Here is an 18,620-nt window from a genome sequence, read left to right as displayed (position 1 = left end):
TGGCCAAATAACAACTTTTTCATTCTTTATGCAAAAGTTATCGACCAACAGCAACCACAGCAAGAAACATGCATACACTCCATTTCTAATGGTACCCAGAACCTCTGTAGTCCTGAGCCATAGAACAAAGAAGAGAGAGAGACAGGAGCACAAACTGTCTGCAGAGGGCTACACTTAGTAGATGAGGCAATTCACTCCACAGAACCTAGGGAAGGTCTGGGGAATAGGGCACCAGGTTCTAGCAAAAGTTCAGGGATGGATGCTAAAAATGGGAGGTCCCTTAAAAGTTCATATAGAACTATAGACCCCAGAATTGTTTCCATCAATTGATGCAGTCAGCTGAATGCACCCACCCCACCCTCAACAGGAGACAGGAGTTTAGGCCCTGAAGAGATTGAATCAGAAAGCTCTGAATTTGTGGCCAATTGGCACAAAGCAGGTAGAGATGGGCTGAGGGAAAGGAAAGCTAGGAACGAAGAGTACACCACCCCAGTCCTCTTTCCCACCATCTCAGAACGTGGCCAGGCCTTCACCCACAGCTAAGACCTTGGAATAGCCTTCTTCGGGTACCTTGAACCACCTGCAGGAGGGATGTGAAGGTACAGTTGCATGGGAGTACCTGACCACAATGCAGTGATGCCCAGTCATTCCACAGCGAGGCACTGCTTCCCACAGAGGTCTCAGTCAGGTGTTCAGTGCCTCATTCTTAAATAGAATTAGACAGCTAGCAACAAATGGCATTGAGGGAAGCCTGCACCAGGAAAGACAGTGTCCAAAATACACAGGAAAGCAAAGGAGCTTGAAGGAGACAGACATTGCAAGAGGAGAAGAAAACTTCTTAAAAGCAAACTATAATACTCTCAGAGACATGGTATCCATGAAACAGATGAGGGAGATATAAAAAGAACAAGAGTTGTAGTCAATTAAAAATATGATAGCAGAAATAAAATATTCCGTTAAAAGGTCAGAGACAAAGTGAAGGAACTCTTCCAGAAAGTAGAATAAAAACACAGAGATGAAAAACAAAAGGGAAAAGATGAGAAAATTAAAGAATCAATTCAATACCATACTAATGAGCATTATGGAAAGAAACAAAACAGGTGCAAATTATCTCTATATACATTTTTTTAATAACTAAGCAACCGGAGCCTTCCAAGTGTCAAACCAGTGAATTAAGAGAAGACTCATGCTATGGCACATCATTTTGAAACTTGGAATACAGGGAATAAAATAATATTCTAAACATTTCCAAAGATAGAGTAAAGCATCATCTGCAAAACATCAGGAATAAGGGCAGTGACCTTTCCATTTGCACCACTGAAAGCTGGAAGACAATGAGCAATGACTTCATGTTCTCAATAAAAATAATATTTTAACTTAAATTTGATACCCAGTGAAACTATCAATCAACTTTGAGGGTTGAATAAAGATATTTTCAGATATGGAAAGTCTCAGAAAAAGTTATGTCCCATGCATTTTTTTTCTCAGGAAGCTCTCAAAGGATGCGACACCAAGGGAATATAAGGGAGTATGCAAAGAAAAGAGAAGAGAGTATGCCAAGAAAAGAGAAGATGTGGAATCCTGGAAAGAAGGGATCTAATACCGCGGAGGTGCCAGGGGAAATACCAGGACAATAGCTGTGCAGGAGACCTACAGAGCAGCTAGGCAAACTGAAGCAGGTGGATAAGGGATGACTCCAGAAAAACAAAATGAAACTGACAGAACAATTTCTAGATTTGACTCTGGAAAATTGTATTGAGAGGCCCTTTACAAAACTGTTGGGGTGTGTGAAAAGATTTGGCAGGGGTGAAAAAAAAAACAGACCCCTAAGTGAATGAGAATACGAGACAACTATTAACTCCAAGAAAAACAAAAAGCTTTGCAAGAAAAATTAAATCATAAAACACGACTTTGCTGGAAAGCCCAGCAATATAGGAAACAACATGTTCATAGTCATAATAATGAACGTTGATTAGGGAGTGAACAAAAAATTGAGGTAGTAGAAAGGAAAGGAAAAGGGGTATGTAGAAGAACTGAAATGTTGTTCACCATAACAGATAATGTCCAAATAGATAAATCAAGTAATATAAGTATGTTCATTAGAAATACAGAAGTAAATATCAAAATAAACAGCTAAAAAAGTTGAAAGTGGTTGCCTTCAGGGTTTTAGAGAGAGAGAGAGAGAAACAGTGTCTCTGTGTGTGTGTGCACGCGAGTGTGTGTAAAGGGGAGGGAGAATGGAGTAGCTGCTGTTTTTTATTAAAAGCTTCTTAGCACAATCTGATTTTTAAATAATGTGTGTGAATTATAGTGACAAAAATTGTTTTAAAGCTATATTTGAAAGAAGAAAGTCTAGAAACATCATGTGTTAGTAGAAGTCTTCATTGACATAAGGTGAATAAATGACTATCAACCAAGAGTGGTTTCTACTTTTTTTCTTTTGGAGACTTTTACTAGCAGGCACCTAATTTCTGTGTTTTGCTTTTACTCATGAGTTGAACAGAGTGATGGATATATATCCATCGCTATAATATCTATGGATATTATATCAAACTTAAAACTAGATAATTACACTGTCTTAATAGGTGGAGTAAGACATTATTAAATCCAAAGACTCTTACTGTCATCATCACTTTAATATGAAGGTAAATAGTTATAAACTGCACTTGTGGTATATTGTGAATTTTTGTTGTAACAAACAAGATTTAATGCAAAAGAGCTCTTTTGCCTCAATCTCTTTATATTTTATTCCCTGTTTCTAAGGGCATTACATTTAAATAGCAGCCATAGCCTAATAATAATTTTGTATGCAGTAAATGTTTTAACATTCTCCTTTAAATTATGAATAAAGATAATCTCCTTTATGAACAATAAAGGAACTCATACATAACCATAAGCCATAAGAATGTTTTCCTTATTTCACTTCTTTCTCAATGGAAATTATAAAGTTGGTAATAGAAACTCTTTCCAGGAGCATCATAATTGCTAAACTTGGAATTGCAGGTACTCAATTGCAATCAGCTGAATGTCACACATGCCATAACTTTACGAGTTTGACTGGGGTCATGCAAAGATAATCAGGGTTATAACGCTAATGCTTTCATTTACTAGCTGGGTGACAATGATCAAGTAGGTCACTGCATGCTTTTCATCCTCCACATGCATATATATTAAAGGAGTGAGAATACCAGCTATAGCAAATAGTTTCTTTACATGCACCAACTTCAGTGAATGGTAGAGGCTACCCAGAGCTCTGTTTTAAGAAGAATTATGAGACTGTATATGTCTGTGTTCAATTAGAAATTGCTGAGATTGATTAGTTATGTCTGGAGATTGATTAGTTATGTCTGCCTTAAACAGTAACTAAGAAAGTGCCTATCCTGACTCCATGTATTTGTCAAGCCTAGATTAGATTGTCTGGAAGATTAACTTCAGGCTCAACATTATTCTATTCCAGCCTATGATTTTTATTTTCTACATTGAGCCAATAAAACTTACCATTCTTTTCTTTCTTCACAGTGCATTTATTAGATTATAGAGCTAATAAATTAGATCTATGGATCTTAAGAAAAATGTATATAGTGCTTTTAGCCACTTAAATGAAGAAAAGTTGTGTCAAATAGCGTTTTTTAATGAACCAAACCTGTTAATTTTGTGAAACATTATACAAGGAATGTTTGCTATATAGACCAAATTTTTTTCTCCATCAACTTTAGTGTTTTTAATGAATCCTCTTTTTAAAACATAGATCATATGTAGTTGAAGAAATCAAGTCTACTACAAGGGGAAAAATGTTAGTTAATTGCACACATCTCTCAACAGGCAGACTTGCTTGATCTGGGATAAGCTGTTGACTTTTAACTATCACAAACGGAATTTCCTGATAGTCCTCTGAAATGGGTTTTCATAAAATTTGGTTATTTTCCTTTTCTTTTCTTTGTAATCATGACAACCTGTGAAACTGAGAAACTGGCCCATCTGAGGTCTTTCTGGGAGAAAAACCATTTTCAGATGAAGCTAGGTTCTTCTGACTCTGATATCTGATTCCAGGCTTTGTTCTAAGATGACGCATGTGACTGCCTTCATGCTGGCCATCTCCAATAAGCCAGAGCCAGCAACTCTAGCCCTGTAGAGATTTCTTTCCAGGAATAGATCTGTTTTGCCTGGTGATGTTAAGCTGAGTATATACATGTCCATTAATAAAATGTGAAAACAGAAAATAAAGGTTCTAACACATGACCTATATCTTTTGCTTTGCCAATATATATATACTTTAAAATTGCAATATATAGTATTTAACTTTCACTATCAAAATGTAGAAGAAAAGCACAAGAATTGGTGCAAAAACAGTAATTCAAACATCTAAGTACAAGGTACAGAGCTTTCCTTGAACATTTCAGCTGCTATCAATTATTGCTAATTGAGCTCTGGTTTTCCTTATCAAGTCTAAATCCGTTTCTAGAGGGAGAAGCTCTCCAGTGATGCTTTGTAAGTTTACAGTGGCAATGTGGGCTGAACTGGAACACTTGCCATATTATTCTGCTTTTGCCACTTAGGTGTTAATAGTGTTTAAAAATAATCACTATTCGAATTATTCCAGCTAGGATTTTATCTGTTCTTCTGCCTGATAATTCTTAGGGAAAACATAGTCCTTTTACCTTCAGTAGTGGCTGCCCAGTACTTTTTGAACACCCTTTTTATATGCAAGAAATCATCTTCCTTACGTGCCCCACATCTCTTAGTGAGAAAATAGGGAACTTTCTTCCCAGCCACCTTGTAGCTGGACACAGGCATGTGACCCACACCCCACCAATCACTATACTTAAATGTGACTTGTGTTACTGTTTGAGGGAGGGGCTCTATGGAATCAGTTTGGTTGTTGAGGTGGTATTCTAGGCATCCAGGACACCAGGGTTGGAAAGTTGGGCTCCTGGGTAGAAGTGGCAGGATGGTTGTTTGGTGCAGTTATGTCCTGGCAGCTGAGCAAAGAGGAGCCCCCACTGCTTGGCATTGGCATAACCTTTGGTGTTTTCCTCCTCGGATCAGTTTTGGACATGGTTTTGGACATTGTTTCTGGAATCCTCAAGCCTGGTTCTCCAGACATTTAGCAATTCCATGAGAGATGCAATATTTTTTCAGTCAACTCTTTTTGGGCTTGGTCTTTTGAATTAGAATTAGTTCCATTATTTGAAATTAAGAACCTTGGCTAATACGTTGTTCTTCCAGGAGAACGTTCTTTCTATATATAAGATTTTTGCCAGGAACTTTTGCATCTTCCTCTGGAATAATCACAGAAGCAGATCATCTTCCTCTGGAATGATTAAGAAAAATCATGACATGAACTTGCTATGTGGAATCTAGAAAAGTCGAATTCATGGAAGCAGAGCAGAAAGGTAGTTACTGGGAGCAGAAGTGGAGGGGAACTGAAGAAACGTTGCCCAAAGGACACAAAGTTTCAGTTATGCAGGATGAATACTGCCAGAGATTTAATGTACAGCCTGGTGACTGTGGTTGATAATACTGTATTGCATACTTGCAATTGGCAAAGGGAGTAGATCTTCAAATGTTCTCTCCCTCCCTCCCCCGGACCACACGTATATACGCAGTAACTAAGTGAAGAGATGGATATGTTAATTAGCTTGACTGTAGTAATCAGTTCACTGTGTAGTAAATAAAATTAACAAAAAAGGAAAAACAATGATAATATAGATTGCCTTTGATTTTTCCTATGCATGACTTGGAAATTTAGCATATATTTATTGAGTACCTACCACATGTGACCCTGTGCTGATGCTAGGATGCCATGGGAGGTGGTAGAGAATATAAAGGTAAGTAAACCAAAGCTCACAGTTTCAATTTAAAATAGTTCTGTGTAAAATTATTAAATTACTCTTTAATTACTCCAGCAATTCCCAGCAGTCTTTTTTAAACAAATATAGCCTCAAGCCTCTTGCAGAGATGCTTTTACTTCTTACATATTTATATTTATTTTTATTGTGCATTTAAAAAATATTTTTCCCAAGTATCTATTGACGGATGAATGGACAAACAAAACAAAGTGTAATACACACACACACACACACACACACACACACACACAGACAAACACAGGAATATTATTTAGCGTTTAAAATGAAGGAAATTCTGACATGCTGCAACATGGATTAACCTTGAAAATATGCTAAGTGAAACATGCCAGTAACAAAGGGGCAAATAGTGTTTGATTCCACTTATATGAGGCACCTACAGTGGTCAAATTCGTAAAGGCAAAAAGTAGAATAGTAGTTGCCAGGGGCTGAGGGTAGGGGAGAATGAGAAATTATTAGATAGTGGAGACAGAGTTTGTTTGGGAAGATTTTTTAAAGTTCTGGAAATAGATGCTGGGGATAGTTGCTCAATTATGTGAATGTACTTAATGCCACAAAATTGTACACTTAAAACACTTAAAATGGGCCAGGCACAGTGGCTCACGCCTGTAATCCCAGTACTTTGGGAGGCAAAAGTGGGCGGATCATGAGGTCAGGAGTTTGAGACCAGCCTGGCCAATATGGTGAAACCCCGTCTCTACTACAAAATGCAAAAATTAGTTGGGCGCTGTGGCGCGTACCTGTAGTCCCAGCTACTTGGGAGGCTGAGGCAGGAGAATTGCTGGAACCCAGGAGGTGGAAGTTGCAGTGAGTTGAGAGCTCGCCACTGCATCATTCCAGCCTGGGTGACAGAGCGAGACTCTATGGGGAAAAAAAAAAAAGTTAAAATGGTAAATTTTATGTTACTTATTTCTTACAACAAGAAAAATGCTTTTTAACCAAACAGAATATAAACTCTTGTGAACAGGGCTAGGGAACTGATTTTCTCCTAATCACTAAGAAAATTCCACCTGAGAGGCAAGGGCCTAGGAGTTGGAGAGCTGGGCTCCTGTTTGGTGCCAGCTCTGTGGTTAGCTAGCTATGTGAACTCCACTCAACCTTGCCAAGCCTCAGTTTCTTCATCTTTCAAATGAGTAAGAGTGGGGAGGGGCACCGCATATCTCAGTGCTCTGATTTCCATTTAACCACAGATTTAGAACCAAGGTGGCTTGGCTTCAAATATTCAACTCCTCTGCTGGCAAATAAACAGATCTTCGGGAAACTGTACTTGTCTTCCAGAGAAAAGGTTTATTTCAGTAGGTTCTCACAGAGCAAATCTAAGCACCAACAATGTAGAGTTTTGAGAATGCAGAGTATTTCCTGAACACATAATCCTTCCCTCCTTGAAACTGTCTATGATGTAGGAATTCAGTTCCCATCCAGATTTACAGATGTAAATCTTCAGTTACCTAATAAAATGGAGAGAAGAAAATCATGTGATTATATTTTGAATCTAGTAATACTAATGAATTCAAAGCCAGACTTCATTTTAGAGGGCTTTTGTAAAAAGTTCTATTTTCCAATCTAATGCTTGGTGTTGAGTCTTGAAAATTTAAGGTAATGCAAACCCTATCATTTCCACCTCTAAAAATTCTATCAGAGTCTCTAAGAATCTATGTTTAGGCTCCTTACACAGCGGCAAACATGGAAACAATATTTATCGTCCACAACTTTCCTAGGTAGATCAAATTGTTCAACACAGAACTGGCATTCTACTGGCAAGTGCCTGGTTACCAGCTAAATAGTTGGGTACACCCAGTAGACCTGCAGATAGAGAAAGCTTTCAAGACCAGTCTGGATACAAACAATATCTGGGAATCAATTGCCTAGGACTATCTCAATGGTAGGAGAAGTCTGCCTCAAGGAAATGTGTATTGTTCTTGAAAATGCCAGACACCAGTAGGAAACACAAACACAGACTCAAAAGAAGCAGGGAATGGCAGACTGAATAAACAGCACGTGCGCACCCATTTTCCTAGGAAATATGTGTCCAAGACTGAAGAGTTGTGGTGCAGTCTTATCTGTCATTTACGTCTTAAAGATAGGTGAGTCTTGGATAATATCGTGCTTGTGCCCCACAGGAGGCTGCCAACTATTATCATAGATCATCCACTAGAGGGTGACAACCACATATGCTTAGGGATGGATGACTGTAGACACAGTGCACATTCCACAGTCCTGAGAAGAGTTTCTTGAAGCTCATCCGCCTAAGTGGTTGGACTTTCACTTTGGAGTCGCCCATAAAAAGGAGAGAGGGAAACTATACATCTTTTCCATACTTATGGCCTAGGTTGTCTCTCCTTTTCAGACTTAGTTAAGAAAAAATTAAATATATATACGAATTTTTTGTAAGTAGAAGGAACACCTCCTATCACATTAAATAGGAGGTGAGTATCTCTAACAGTTGGGAGAAGGACATGCTGAGATTTTTTCCTATTACTATTATGGATCTTTGGGACAGTTTCAGTAAGTACTTTCAGGGGGTACTTGGTTTTTCCAACTTGAAAATGGGGGCTATTCATTATAAATCTTAGAGCAAAATTCTGATAGCAAAGTAGATAGAGGAATATAGAACCTTTTATTAGAAGGTTTTTGTGTCTTTCTAGGATAATTATTACAAGTAGTATCAATATATACCAACTAATATGCATGAGATAAGATGGCGGGTCTGAGTCTTGGTTGGGATGTGGGTCTGGAATCTTGGATTATGGACATAAGAAATATTATGAACACTTAATGAACACCTAGGCAGCAGGCTCAAGCCCAAGCACACACCACAGTAGCTTTCGAATAGTTTGGATGTATTCTAATTTGTATTTCTCCCCAGCTACTTTTGTGGGTAGTCATTTAGGCAGCCCTTCATAGAGTTCTGGGTCTTTTCCTTAACTTTCCACAAAAATGTTTCAGCTTTAGGAAGAGGTTTTGGGAAACCAGAATGTTTCCATTACTGTACGGTTAAACCTTTTGTTCACTACTTAGACAAATATACTGAGCACTCATTTTTGTTTTTTTTTTAAGAGACAGTAGCTTTTATAACAGGCTCGAACATAAGCTCCTGTGAACTATGTACATAGTAAGTCCTCCGTAGCTGTTGCATATATAATCCATGGTTAGTATAAAATTATCGTAATTTTAAATAAGACAAGCCATAGTTCTATGAGTGATATAATTTTAAATAAGACAAGCCATCGTTCTTTGAGTGATGTGTTTGAGTGATGCTTCTTGATACTTCTTTCAGCTTAAACATAGAAATCATGATCACACCACTGCACTCCAGCCTGGGTAACAGCGAGACTCTGTCTCAAAAAAATAAAAATTAAAACTAAAATAAACATAGAAACCAGATTTTCTTTGGTTTCCTCTGTCGGTGACTTTGGCTGGTTCTCTTTTGCATGTTCGTTGATGTTTCTCCTTGCCTTTGTGTTTAGTGTTTTTAGCAGGCGGTGTTTATAATAGACTAAAACTTTGGGAGCCAGACAGACCTGGGTTCAGTGGGTTTACATTGCTGGGTTTTATAAGGATTAGAAGCAAATATATGTACAGTGCCTGGCACAAAATATATAAACAAAATGTTGTTTGTTAGTTATTAGTACTAGCTGTATTAATAATAATAATGATACTATATATAATAATATACATTTGTATATATAATAATATATATTTGTATATTTTATATATATAAAATGATAATATTGGAAAGCTAGAGGGTGCAGCGAAGAGATGGCAGGGTGAGCGTGGTATAAGTCTGAATTTGGCCATCTGGTTATTTGCAAGTTCTCTTCCAGCAAATATTTGTTGTGTACCTTCCATAAGCAGCATTGTTCTAGGCACTGGGGACCAAGTGAAAAACCAGACCCCGTCCTAGGAACAGTATTTGCTGTTTACATTGTCATATAGGAAGGAGCAGTGCACTTAGCAAGAGAATTTTTTAGTGGTGCTGTTTTGGGACCTGCTTCTATTTAACTTAACGGAAACTGTTTTCAGTAACAGATTTATTGAGATATAATTCACATACTATACAATTCACCCATTTAAAGCATGTAAGTCTGTGGTTATTAGCATATTCAGAGTTGTACAATCACCATCACAATTAATTCTAGCAGTCGCTCCCCCAGTCCCCTTACTCCTACCCCCACCCCCAGTTCAAGGTAACAGCTAATCTACTTCCCGTCTCTATAGAGTTGCCTGTTCTGGACGTTTCATCTAAATGGAATTATAGAATATGTGGTCTTTTATAAGTGGCTTCTCTCACCTAGTTTAAAGTTCTCAAGGCTCATCCATGGTTATAGCATGTATCAGTATTTTATTCCATTTTATGGCTGAAAACATTTTTGAAGTTTCCTTAATGCACATTAAATACTCATATGTTGATTGATTCATTCATTTTGTTTTTCTAGTCTGTGTTGTTTCTCTCTCACTCTTTCTCCTGCCCTTTCTTGGACAGGTTTTCTCTCTTCCCTTCTCTTTTGAAAGCAACCACCCTCCTACTGTTACCGCAGACTCCTGCTTTAACTTTAATATCTACTGAGATTTGGAGCCTGTGGCACCTACTCTTTGCAATGACAGAAAATCTGGTTTCTGTCCTTTATTTCTTTCCAGTCCTTTCAGTTTCAATCTGTGTGCCCTCCAAATGCAATAGCTTAAGATTTCTTTAAAGAACATCTTAGACTTGGCCTTGGAATGGAAGCTTCAAATGATATCTAAAGAATACATGAACCAGCCAAAGGAGAAAGTGGAGGGAATTAAAAAAAAAAAAATCAAGAATGACAGCCAGAGAATTTTCACAAAATTCGGACAGGCTGTGGCCGTTTCTTATTCTTATGTCTGATGGATTGAACATTTCCCACAAGGGCTTGGTACCATCTAGGACCTGAAGATACGCTGAAGGTTCCTCGTAAAATCCAGCCTCTATTTTATTCTCACTTCCTTTCTTCTGGGTTTGGCCTATGCAAAGCCCACCGATAAGTTATAAATGACTTATCAAGCATCAGCGTTTGGAGAGTAGACGGCTCCATAAATACCTACTTGGCCTCATTAAAAAGCTACAGCGATTAAAGAGAATGATTAGTGTGGTGCCAGAGGGGAAAGCAGAAAATCCAACATCTGACTCAAAAAGGGCCAGACCTCTTCTCAGGGAAGACCGCGGGTGTCAGGGAAGAGGATCTGGCCCGCGCCCCGGAGCGGAGCGCCGGGCGTCGGCGTCTGCGGAGCCTGCACCAGGGCCTGTCACGGGAAGAGTTATGAAAAGTGCACGCGTTCTCAGAGACGATTACCCTCTTGCCCTCCACGCCTCCTTCCCAACCTCCCCTTCCACTCCCTGCTGCCCCCACTGGAACTCAAAGCATGATTAAAACAGAGAAACCTATAACGGGGATGAAATGACCCTCAAATGACTGCTTAATTACAGCGAAATGAAAGCCGGGGGGCTACAAATAACCAGGAACTGTCCCGGCTGTCACTGAAGAGGAGCCTGCGCATGAGTCATGAGTCATGAATTAGCCACTAAGTGTTCGCCGCCAGCCCCCGGCCGCCCGCCTCTGCCCTGCCCGAGCCGGGCTCGCCGGCCCTCCACGCCTGGCCCCACAGAGTCCCCCGCCCCCGCGGGCGTCCGGGCCGGGTCGGAACCGGGCGGTTGTTGTGATTCCCAGGGTTCCCCAGTCGCCCCCGGCCGCCCGGTGGGTCGCTGGGTCGGGGAAGGCTCCCAGGCTGCGCAGGAGACAGGCTGACTGAAGGAGCGCAGCCAGCGCGGCTGCAGATAAGTTAATGTACACAGAGAGGATGTAAATTACCACGACCCGCAGCAGCAGGACATTGGCCAGGGCCCTGTCAGGGAGAGGACAAGCGTCGGGGGCTGCGCGCTCGCTGACACCCACCCGGGATGGAGCCGCCAGGCGGCCCGGCCGGGGAGGACCTCTTGGAGCCAGGCTTTCCTTGAAAACAGCTGCGTGTCCCTGACACCTCCAAACTAATGCATTTTTAATCAGAGGAATTAGCTCTAGGCGTCCCATATTTTTCCAACCTCCCCCCACCAACCCCTGTCTCTTCCAGCCACGTCCCCCTCCCCGCCCCTAGGTTAGGGACTGGCAGTCCCATTCTGTTTCTTTATCGGGACTCTGCAGAGTCCCCCGCTGCCCCTACACCCCCGAGACCAAACCACTTTTAAAAAAAAAATCTCCCTCCCCACCCCCATCCTCCCACCAGCCCTCCTCCACCGCCGGGTTCGCTCCAATGCAACTTTCGCCCCCACCCTTCCCTCTGTTTATACAGTGACATCACAGCCCCTGGCTCTCTCCAAGACTCAAAGAAAACAGAGTTCAAAAAGGCAAACAGGAAAGCCCGCCGGTCGTGGGCACGGGGTGAGATTCGGTCCACCCGCGGCGGACCGCGCAGACGCGCATGTGCGCGCACCTCGGTGTGAGCCCGTCTCCACTGGGACATCCTCGGGAAAGGGCTGCCCAGGCCGTGCTCCCCGTCAGCCCCGGGGAACTCAATTCCCTTAGGGAATTGAAAAATGTCCAGTAGTCACATAAAAGAAAGTGAAAAGGTAAAACAGGTGAAATTAATTTTAACAATATATTTTTAATCTGATATATTCAAAACATTATTTCAATATGTAATCAATATAAAAATTATAAATGAGATATTTCATATATTTTTTCACAGTGAATCTTCGAAAAATTACACTCACAACACATCTCAATTCAGACACAAATTTTTCATTGGAAATACTTGATCTGTAGTTACATTTCATAAAACTTAGAGTTGAAAAAATTGATTCACATACTCACATTGTTCCAAAAATATTTAAGCATTTTTCAATAACTGAATCCAGTGTTAGTTCTTAAGTGTGAATTTACACTAATGTGAAATAAAATAAAATTTGAATTAAATGAGAATTTGGAGTTAAATAAAAAATTAAGTTTCTTTGTTGCCCATTTTAAATTCCTAACAGCCACTTGCAGCTAGCGGCTATCAGATTAAACAACAGGGATAGAGAGTAATAGAATCTCCAAACTTCAGCTCTTGTTAACATAAAGTGGAGATAATAGTATCTACTTTATGTAGGCTTGTTGTAAGAATTAAATGAAATACAGTAGAACAATGTATATTAAGTACTCGGTACAGGGCCTAGCACATAGTAAGTACTCAATAATGAAGGTAACTCTGAGAATTATTTCTCCACTTTGATTATTTTTGCACCCCCACCCCCCATCCTTAAACTCAGCGATTCATACTTCCTTCCTCCAGAACTTGCTCTTAGGAAGGATTGTTACATGAATTCGCAATAAGCTGCCAAAAATGAACAGAGTATTCAAACACTCAAGTGTCCTTCCGTCCCTATTTATTAGACACCCCTTTCACCCACAACATGCCTTCAGCTTCATTACTGTCTGTGCTGGCCACTCCAGATTTTATACATAGAACAGGTCTTCAATGGTATCTCTCCAGCTACCTAGTAAAGATCTTGCAAAGATATTTTTAACCCAATCCACCAAAACCTGAATTGATGCGTATCATCCCTCATGTGCCTCTCCTGTTCCCGCATTGGGTGGTGTTGCCATTCCCTTGAAAGCCTCAGCCAAACTCTGGCAGTCATTAGAGGTTCTTCTTCTTCCTTCATTGTTCCCCTCACCACATCCCCTTAGGCAATCACTAAGTCTTACAAATTCTACTCCTAAACACCTCCCAAATCCATTGATGTGTCTCATTGTCGACTGTTATCCTTCACTTAGATGTTGTAACTGGTCTTTCTACCTCTGCTTTGCCCCCCTTCAATTCATTCTTCGTGCTTCAGCAAGAGTAACTTTTCTAAAGCGTGAATCCAATTATGCAACAAGCCTGCTTAACACTTAAATGACTTTTGACTCTTCCACAGGGCCTATGAGGTCCTTATGGAGTTTCCTTGCTTAACCCTTTTTTCCTGTCTTTTAAAAAACCGCCTTTACCGCCTTAACCATCCCCCTCCTGCCCCCAATTTCCAGCCTCTCTGAATCTCTTCCAGTTTATCTAACACACCACGTTTCCTGACGGAGGAGCTCCCACGCATGGCCATGCTGGGTGCATCATATTCATGTCTATCCTACAAGTCACAACCCCACTCTGAGATGGTATTTGGTATGCACAGCCAGATACGTCTTCCCATTTTGCCTCATGGCAACCTGTCTGCATATTTGACGGTATCTGTTTCAGAGGATCCCTCAGCTTTTGGCTGAAAATGCCAGCTCCCTCTCAAAACTCTGTGCATGACACCTTTAGAAATCCTTTGAGGTGCTAAACATTTAGGTCATCAAAGGGGCACACTGACTATTACTGATTTTGTCTGGTTCCATTCCACAACACCGATTTTTGTAATGTTTCCTTTCTTTGTTTCACTTTGACTGTAGAAGCTGGCTAAGATGCATTGGCACTAGCACTATCTATTGCATGCAAAAGTTTTGCTCAAAAGAAGTGTTGATGTTGGAGCTGTGAGAAAAGCAGGCCCTACGTTGCAGGACTTGGGGGAAGAATGGAATGTGAAAAGCTCACTTTAAAATGGTAGGGGTTTGGGTGCCAGGCAGGAGCAGTGGTAGAGCATTTCAGAGACCAGTCCGAGCCTAATGAGGTCTGCCAGGGCTCTGGGCAGGCGTCACCAGCTGGCTGTTTGCCACTCCTCTTGCCCTCCCAGACACACACAGTGCTGGGGAGTCAGCACTTATGCTAACACTGGAGACAGGCGGGCAACATGAGACTGGTGGATGAGGGCAGTGATGGCTAGGTATTTTCCCAGAGGACCAAAGAGCAGGATATGTATGTCTGGTTTCTGCCTCTGACACCTCCAGGCCTAGGGATGGATTCCCAGTGATCTCCTTCCATCAAAGGGCTTGATCCCAGGAAAGGCGAGTGAAGATGAAACTTCAGCTCTTTGTCTGCCTTTGGGATAAAGCTATGTGAAACTGTCAAAGCAAATATCATGTTTCCCTGGAAAACCATAAATTCCTTTGGCTCTGGGTCCAGGAGGTTTGTCATGTGGTTAGAGGAAAGATGAGTATGTTGATCACAGGTCATCAGCTGTAAGGTTCTGTAGCTCGGGGCCCGGGTCCACAGTGCCAGCTGCTATAATACCAGGTATAATGTTGGGTTCAAGTAATGCTTAGTAAATACTCTTTAATTACAGCTCAAGATGAAGACAGTGAAACAGCTTGCTGTTTGTTATGTACCTGGCAACTGATGTGTATCATCAGATCAAATAGAGGTGTTGATAAATTTTGTCAAGGGGACTGTAAATTTTAAAAATGGAATAATCATAAATGCTCTTGTGATAGAATATACCTGAAAATCTTCAGAAGGAAATGGAAGATTATGAAATATTTATTTATTTGTTTGTTTTCTGGCTAGTTGGTTGATTTTTGCCAGATTCTTTATATATTAAAGTAGCATTAACATTAAATTCATGCTACAAAATCAGATAGAAAAGAAAGAAATTACCATGAGTAAACATTTTTTTTCTCTTTTATAGTTTTGTAAACAGGGGCTGTGGATGCTTAAATAATGCTTTTCAAAGCTCCATCTTTCTTACTGTGCTTTGGTCAGAAAGAAAAAAAATACATGAGAAAAGCTATTTTGATCACCCATAGTACAGCAGTTGCTGTATCTTGTTAGCCTTTTTGTGGCATATTTAGCATTCTAAATTTCTAACAGTTATTTCACCCATATCATTTAACAAGCACTTCTTCATGTTATAATAAACCCTTTATGAATATAAATTTTAATGTGTACAGACTGTACTATCATGTAGATTTGCAACACTTACTTAACCACTCACATATTATTGGTTATTTGGGTTATTTTATTTTAAAATAAGAATTTTCCAAAGGTTCCCTTAGGAATAGAGTCCCATCAGTTTTAAAGTTATGGCAATATTTAATGTACATAGGGTAATATTTAATCATAAAGTATTGTTTTGGTGAAAATTAAAAGAGCCAGAAGTTTTATGTTAAATTTTTTTTAATATTGGCATAATACTAAAAGCAATCAACCAGCTTCATTGAGCTCCCAATTTCAGAGAAAAACTGGCCTCTTCAAGTAAAGATTCCTTGTTCTTAGAGGGGAGGAGCTGATAATTAAGTAATCACAAGAAACAATGCATGGCAAGGGAACTCGCCCAGTGTAGACCAGAAAATGTCCTCCGGAGAATGTGGCATTTAAACCAGGACTCCTCAGGACAAGGAGGCTTTGAAAGCCCCAGCTATCCTGGCATGCTCAAATACTTTGGGGGGATAGCAGTGGATAAAACCCTTCTGGAAAGTAGTCTGCTAATATCTAAGAAGGGTTTTAAATATTTTCTTATCTTTTTAAAAAATGTAAATATTCAGAAGTAACCAGAAAAGGTGAAAGAAGTCAATGCACTAAGGTATTCATCTTAGCACGATTCATCATAGGGAAGAAGGAAACCATTTGTATGTCTAAGCTGAGGGACTGGCCACGACTGTGCCTACACTGGAATGTATGCATCATTAAAAAGTATACTTAGAGTAATGTAAAACTGGTGAGAAGACCGTTCTAGGATCAAAGAGGCATAACAAAAGACAATGCATGAAATAGTTTGAAAATAAACAGCAAAAAGTCATTGGGGGACAATTTAAAAAATTTAAATATCAACTGGATATTAAATGACGTTAGCGAATAATCGTGAATATCCTCTTGCGATAATGATATTATGATTATGTGGGAGGATGTTCTTATTTTTAGGAGATGCATATTGAAATATTTATAAGTGAAATGCTACGATAATTGCAGTTTACTTTCAAATATTTCAGCAAAAAAACACATATGTATATATGTATGTCTGCTTACCGACTCCCTGGATTTTCTAATTGGAAGTAGTACTGAGGAAGATCCAACACAGGTAATGCATAAGGACACGAAACAGCAAAATCTAAACACATACGCACACACAGAGCAAATATGGCAAAGTATATATAATTATTGACTCTAGGAGGAAAATACATGTGTAGTCATTGCACTTGCCTTTTAACTTTTGTGTGTTTGAAAATCTTCATAACAAAGAAATGCATTATGCAGCATTACCTAGAAAAATTGAAAATCTGCTGTAATGGTTAAGGGATTGTATCAGGATGGTAGATTTATGAGAGATATTTTCTTCTTAATACTTGGATACATTTTCTACAATGAACATAGATCATTTTTATTATCAACAATTAAAGCCACATTCTGTCAAGCACTTACTAGGTTCCATGCTTTGCATGAATTATTCTATTTAATTCTTACAACAACCTTAAGAAGGTAGAATTATTACTGTCTTTTTATAGTTGAGGACACTGATGTTTAAAGAGATCACACTACTTGCCCACTGATATAAGTGGCTATGCCAGGATTTGAACCTAGGCACAAGTGATGCTTTTACAATTCAACAATATCTTGAAAAATATTTTGAAAAATAAAAAAAAATTATCTATATAACTGAAGATTTCACCCCATAGGCAGTGTAACGATATGGATTTAGAAGCCGAAATCACGATTCAAGCCCTGGCTCTGCAGTTTGCAACTTGGGTGGTTGTGTGGTGGGTGTGCAATGCCTGATCTCTCCTCCTTTGGTGTAAATGGGCCAGTGTGCTGTGAATGATAAATTGTCCAACAAAATAAATTGAGATCATTGCTCTGAGGGCCTGATAGTGTAACTGAATATCTGGAAGACCATCACTGTCCAACTTTATGCTTGGCCTTTTACATCTTATTTTAGAGTTTGATTCCGTTGTACTGAAAACATCTTTGGGTGACATCTTTTGTTTTGTCTTGCTTTTTGCTTTTTCTAGAATTGTAAAGGATAAGAATAGAAAATTGTCCTTCATTTGTTGATAAACCCTGGTTGAGATAATCTGCCCTTCTCATTGGTGGCATAGCTGACAACCTAGGAGTGTGTCTAAAGGATGGCTTCCCTCAAAGACAGAGACCAAAAAGTTGTATCAAGATACAAGGCAGATCTATAAAGAGTGGGCTTCCATATCTCACTTTGAAAACCTGAACACCATATCCCTCATTTTCAACATTTGCATCTAGACTCAGGCTAAACAGTAGAAACTACAATGAATTGTTGCTAACTGATGAATGGGTGTTGAGAAAACTTACTCTACTTGTGTAATTTCCTGTCACCAGCATGAAACGGTCAAGAAATTGCCATTGTTGTGAAAACTTCAACTAAATAATTCAGAGATACAGAAAACTGGCACAAGAATGTTATTTCTCCATTTGGACAGAAAAATCTCTGAACTTTCTGAAGTTCACCCATCATTGTTGTAAAACTCTAAAGATCAAGTTTACTTTGGAAGTTCTGCTACAACCTCGAGTATCATGTTAGCCATAGCATGGCAGCTGGGAAAACGGAAAAGAGCAATCCACTATTTCCAAGTACACACCTCTATTATTTTAAAGCTCACAGTGTTTGTTTTACTAATTTGGAGAGAAGAAAAGATCACAGATTATTTCTCAGGTTAGTGTTTAACATTTTGCTTTTCCAAATCAACCTTCCTATTATCAATGCCATTACTGAAGAGCATGGATATAATAAACTCATATCATGAATGTGAATAAATAACATGAGCTAGACAATCTTTGACTAGGGTTGACCATCCTCAATCCTTTCAAAGTTTGTCTATTTGTTTTTTGTTACTGATGTAAGCAATGACAAAAACTTAACCTTTTTTGTTGAAAGAAAAA

General features: G+C 39.5%; 1 long non-coding RNA gene across 1 annotated transcript in view; it reads right to left on the bottom strand.

The window, feature by feature from the left end:
- Nucleotides 1-18,620, bottom strand: part of LOC124904265 (uncharacterized) — a 56,143-nt gene that overhangs the window by 11,772 nt on the left and 25,751 nt on the right. The gene's annotated exons all lie outside the window — the stretch shown is intronic.

The sequence above is a fragment of the Homo sapiens genome, chromosome 18, assembly GCF_000001405.40.
Source record: "Homo sapiens chromosome 18, GRCh38.p14 Primary Assembly".
In the NCBI taxonomy this organism is placed as follows: Eukaryota; Metazoa; Chordata; class Mammalia; order Primates; family Hominidae; genus Homo; species Homo sapiens.
Note: the sequence above shows the minus strand (reverse complement) of the source record. Positions and strands in the feature narration are given on the sequence as shown.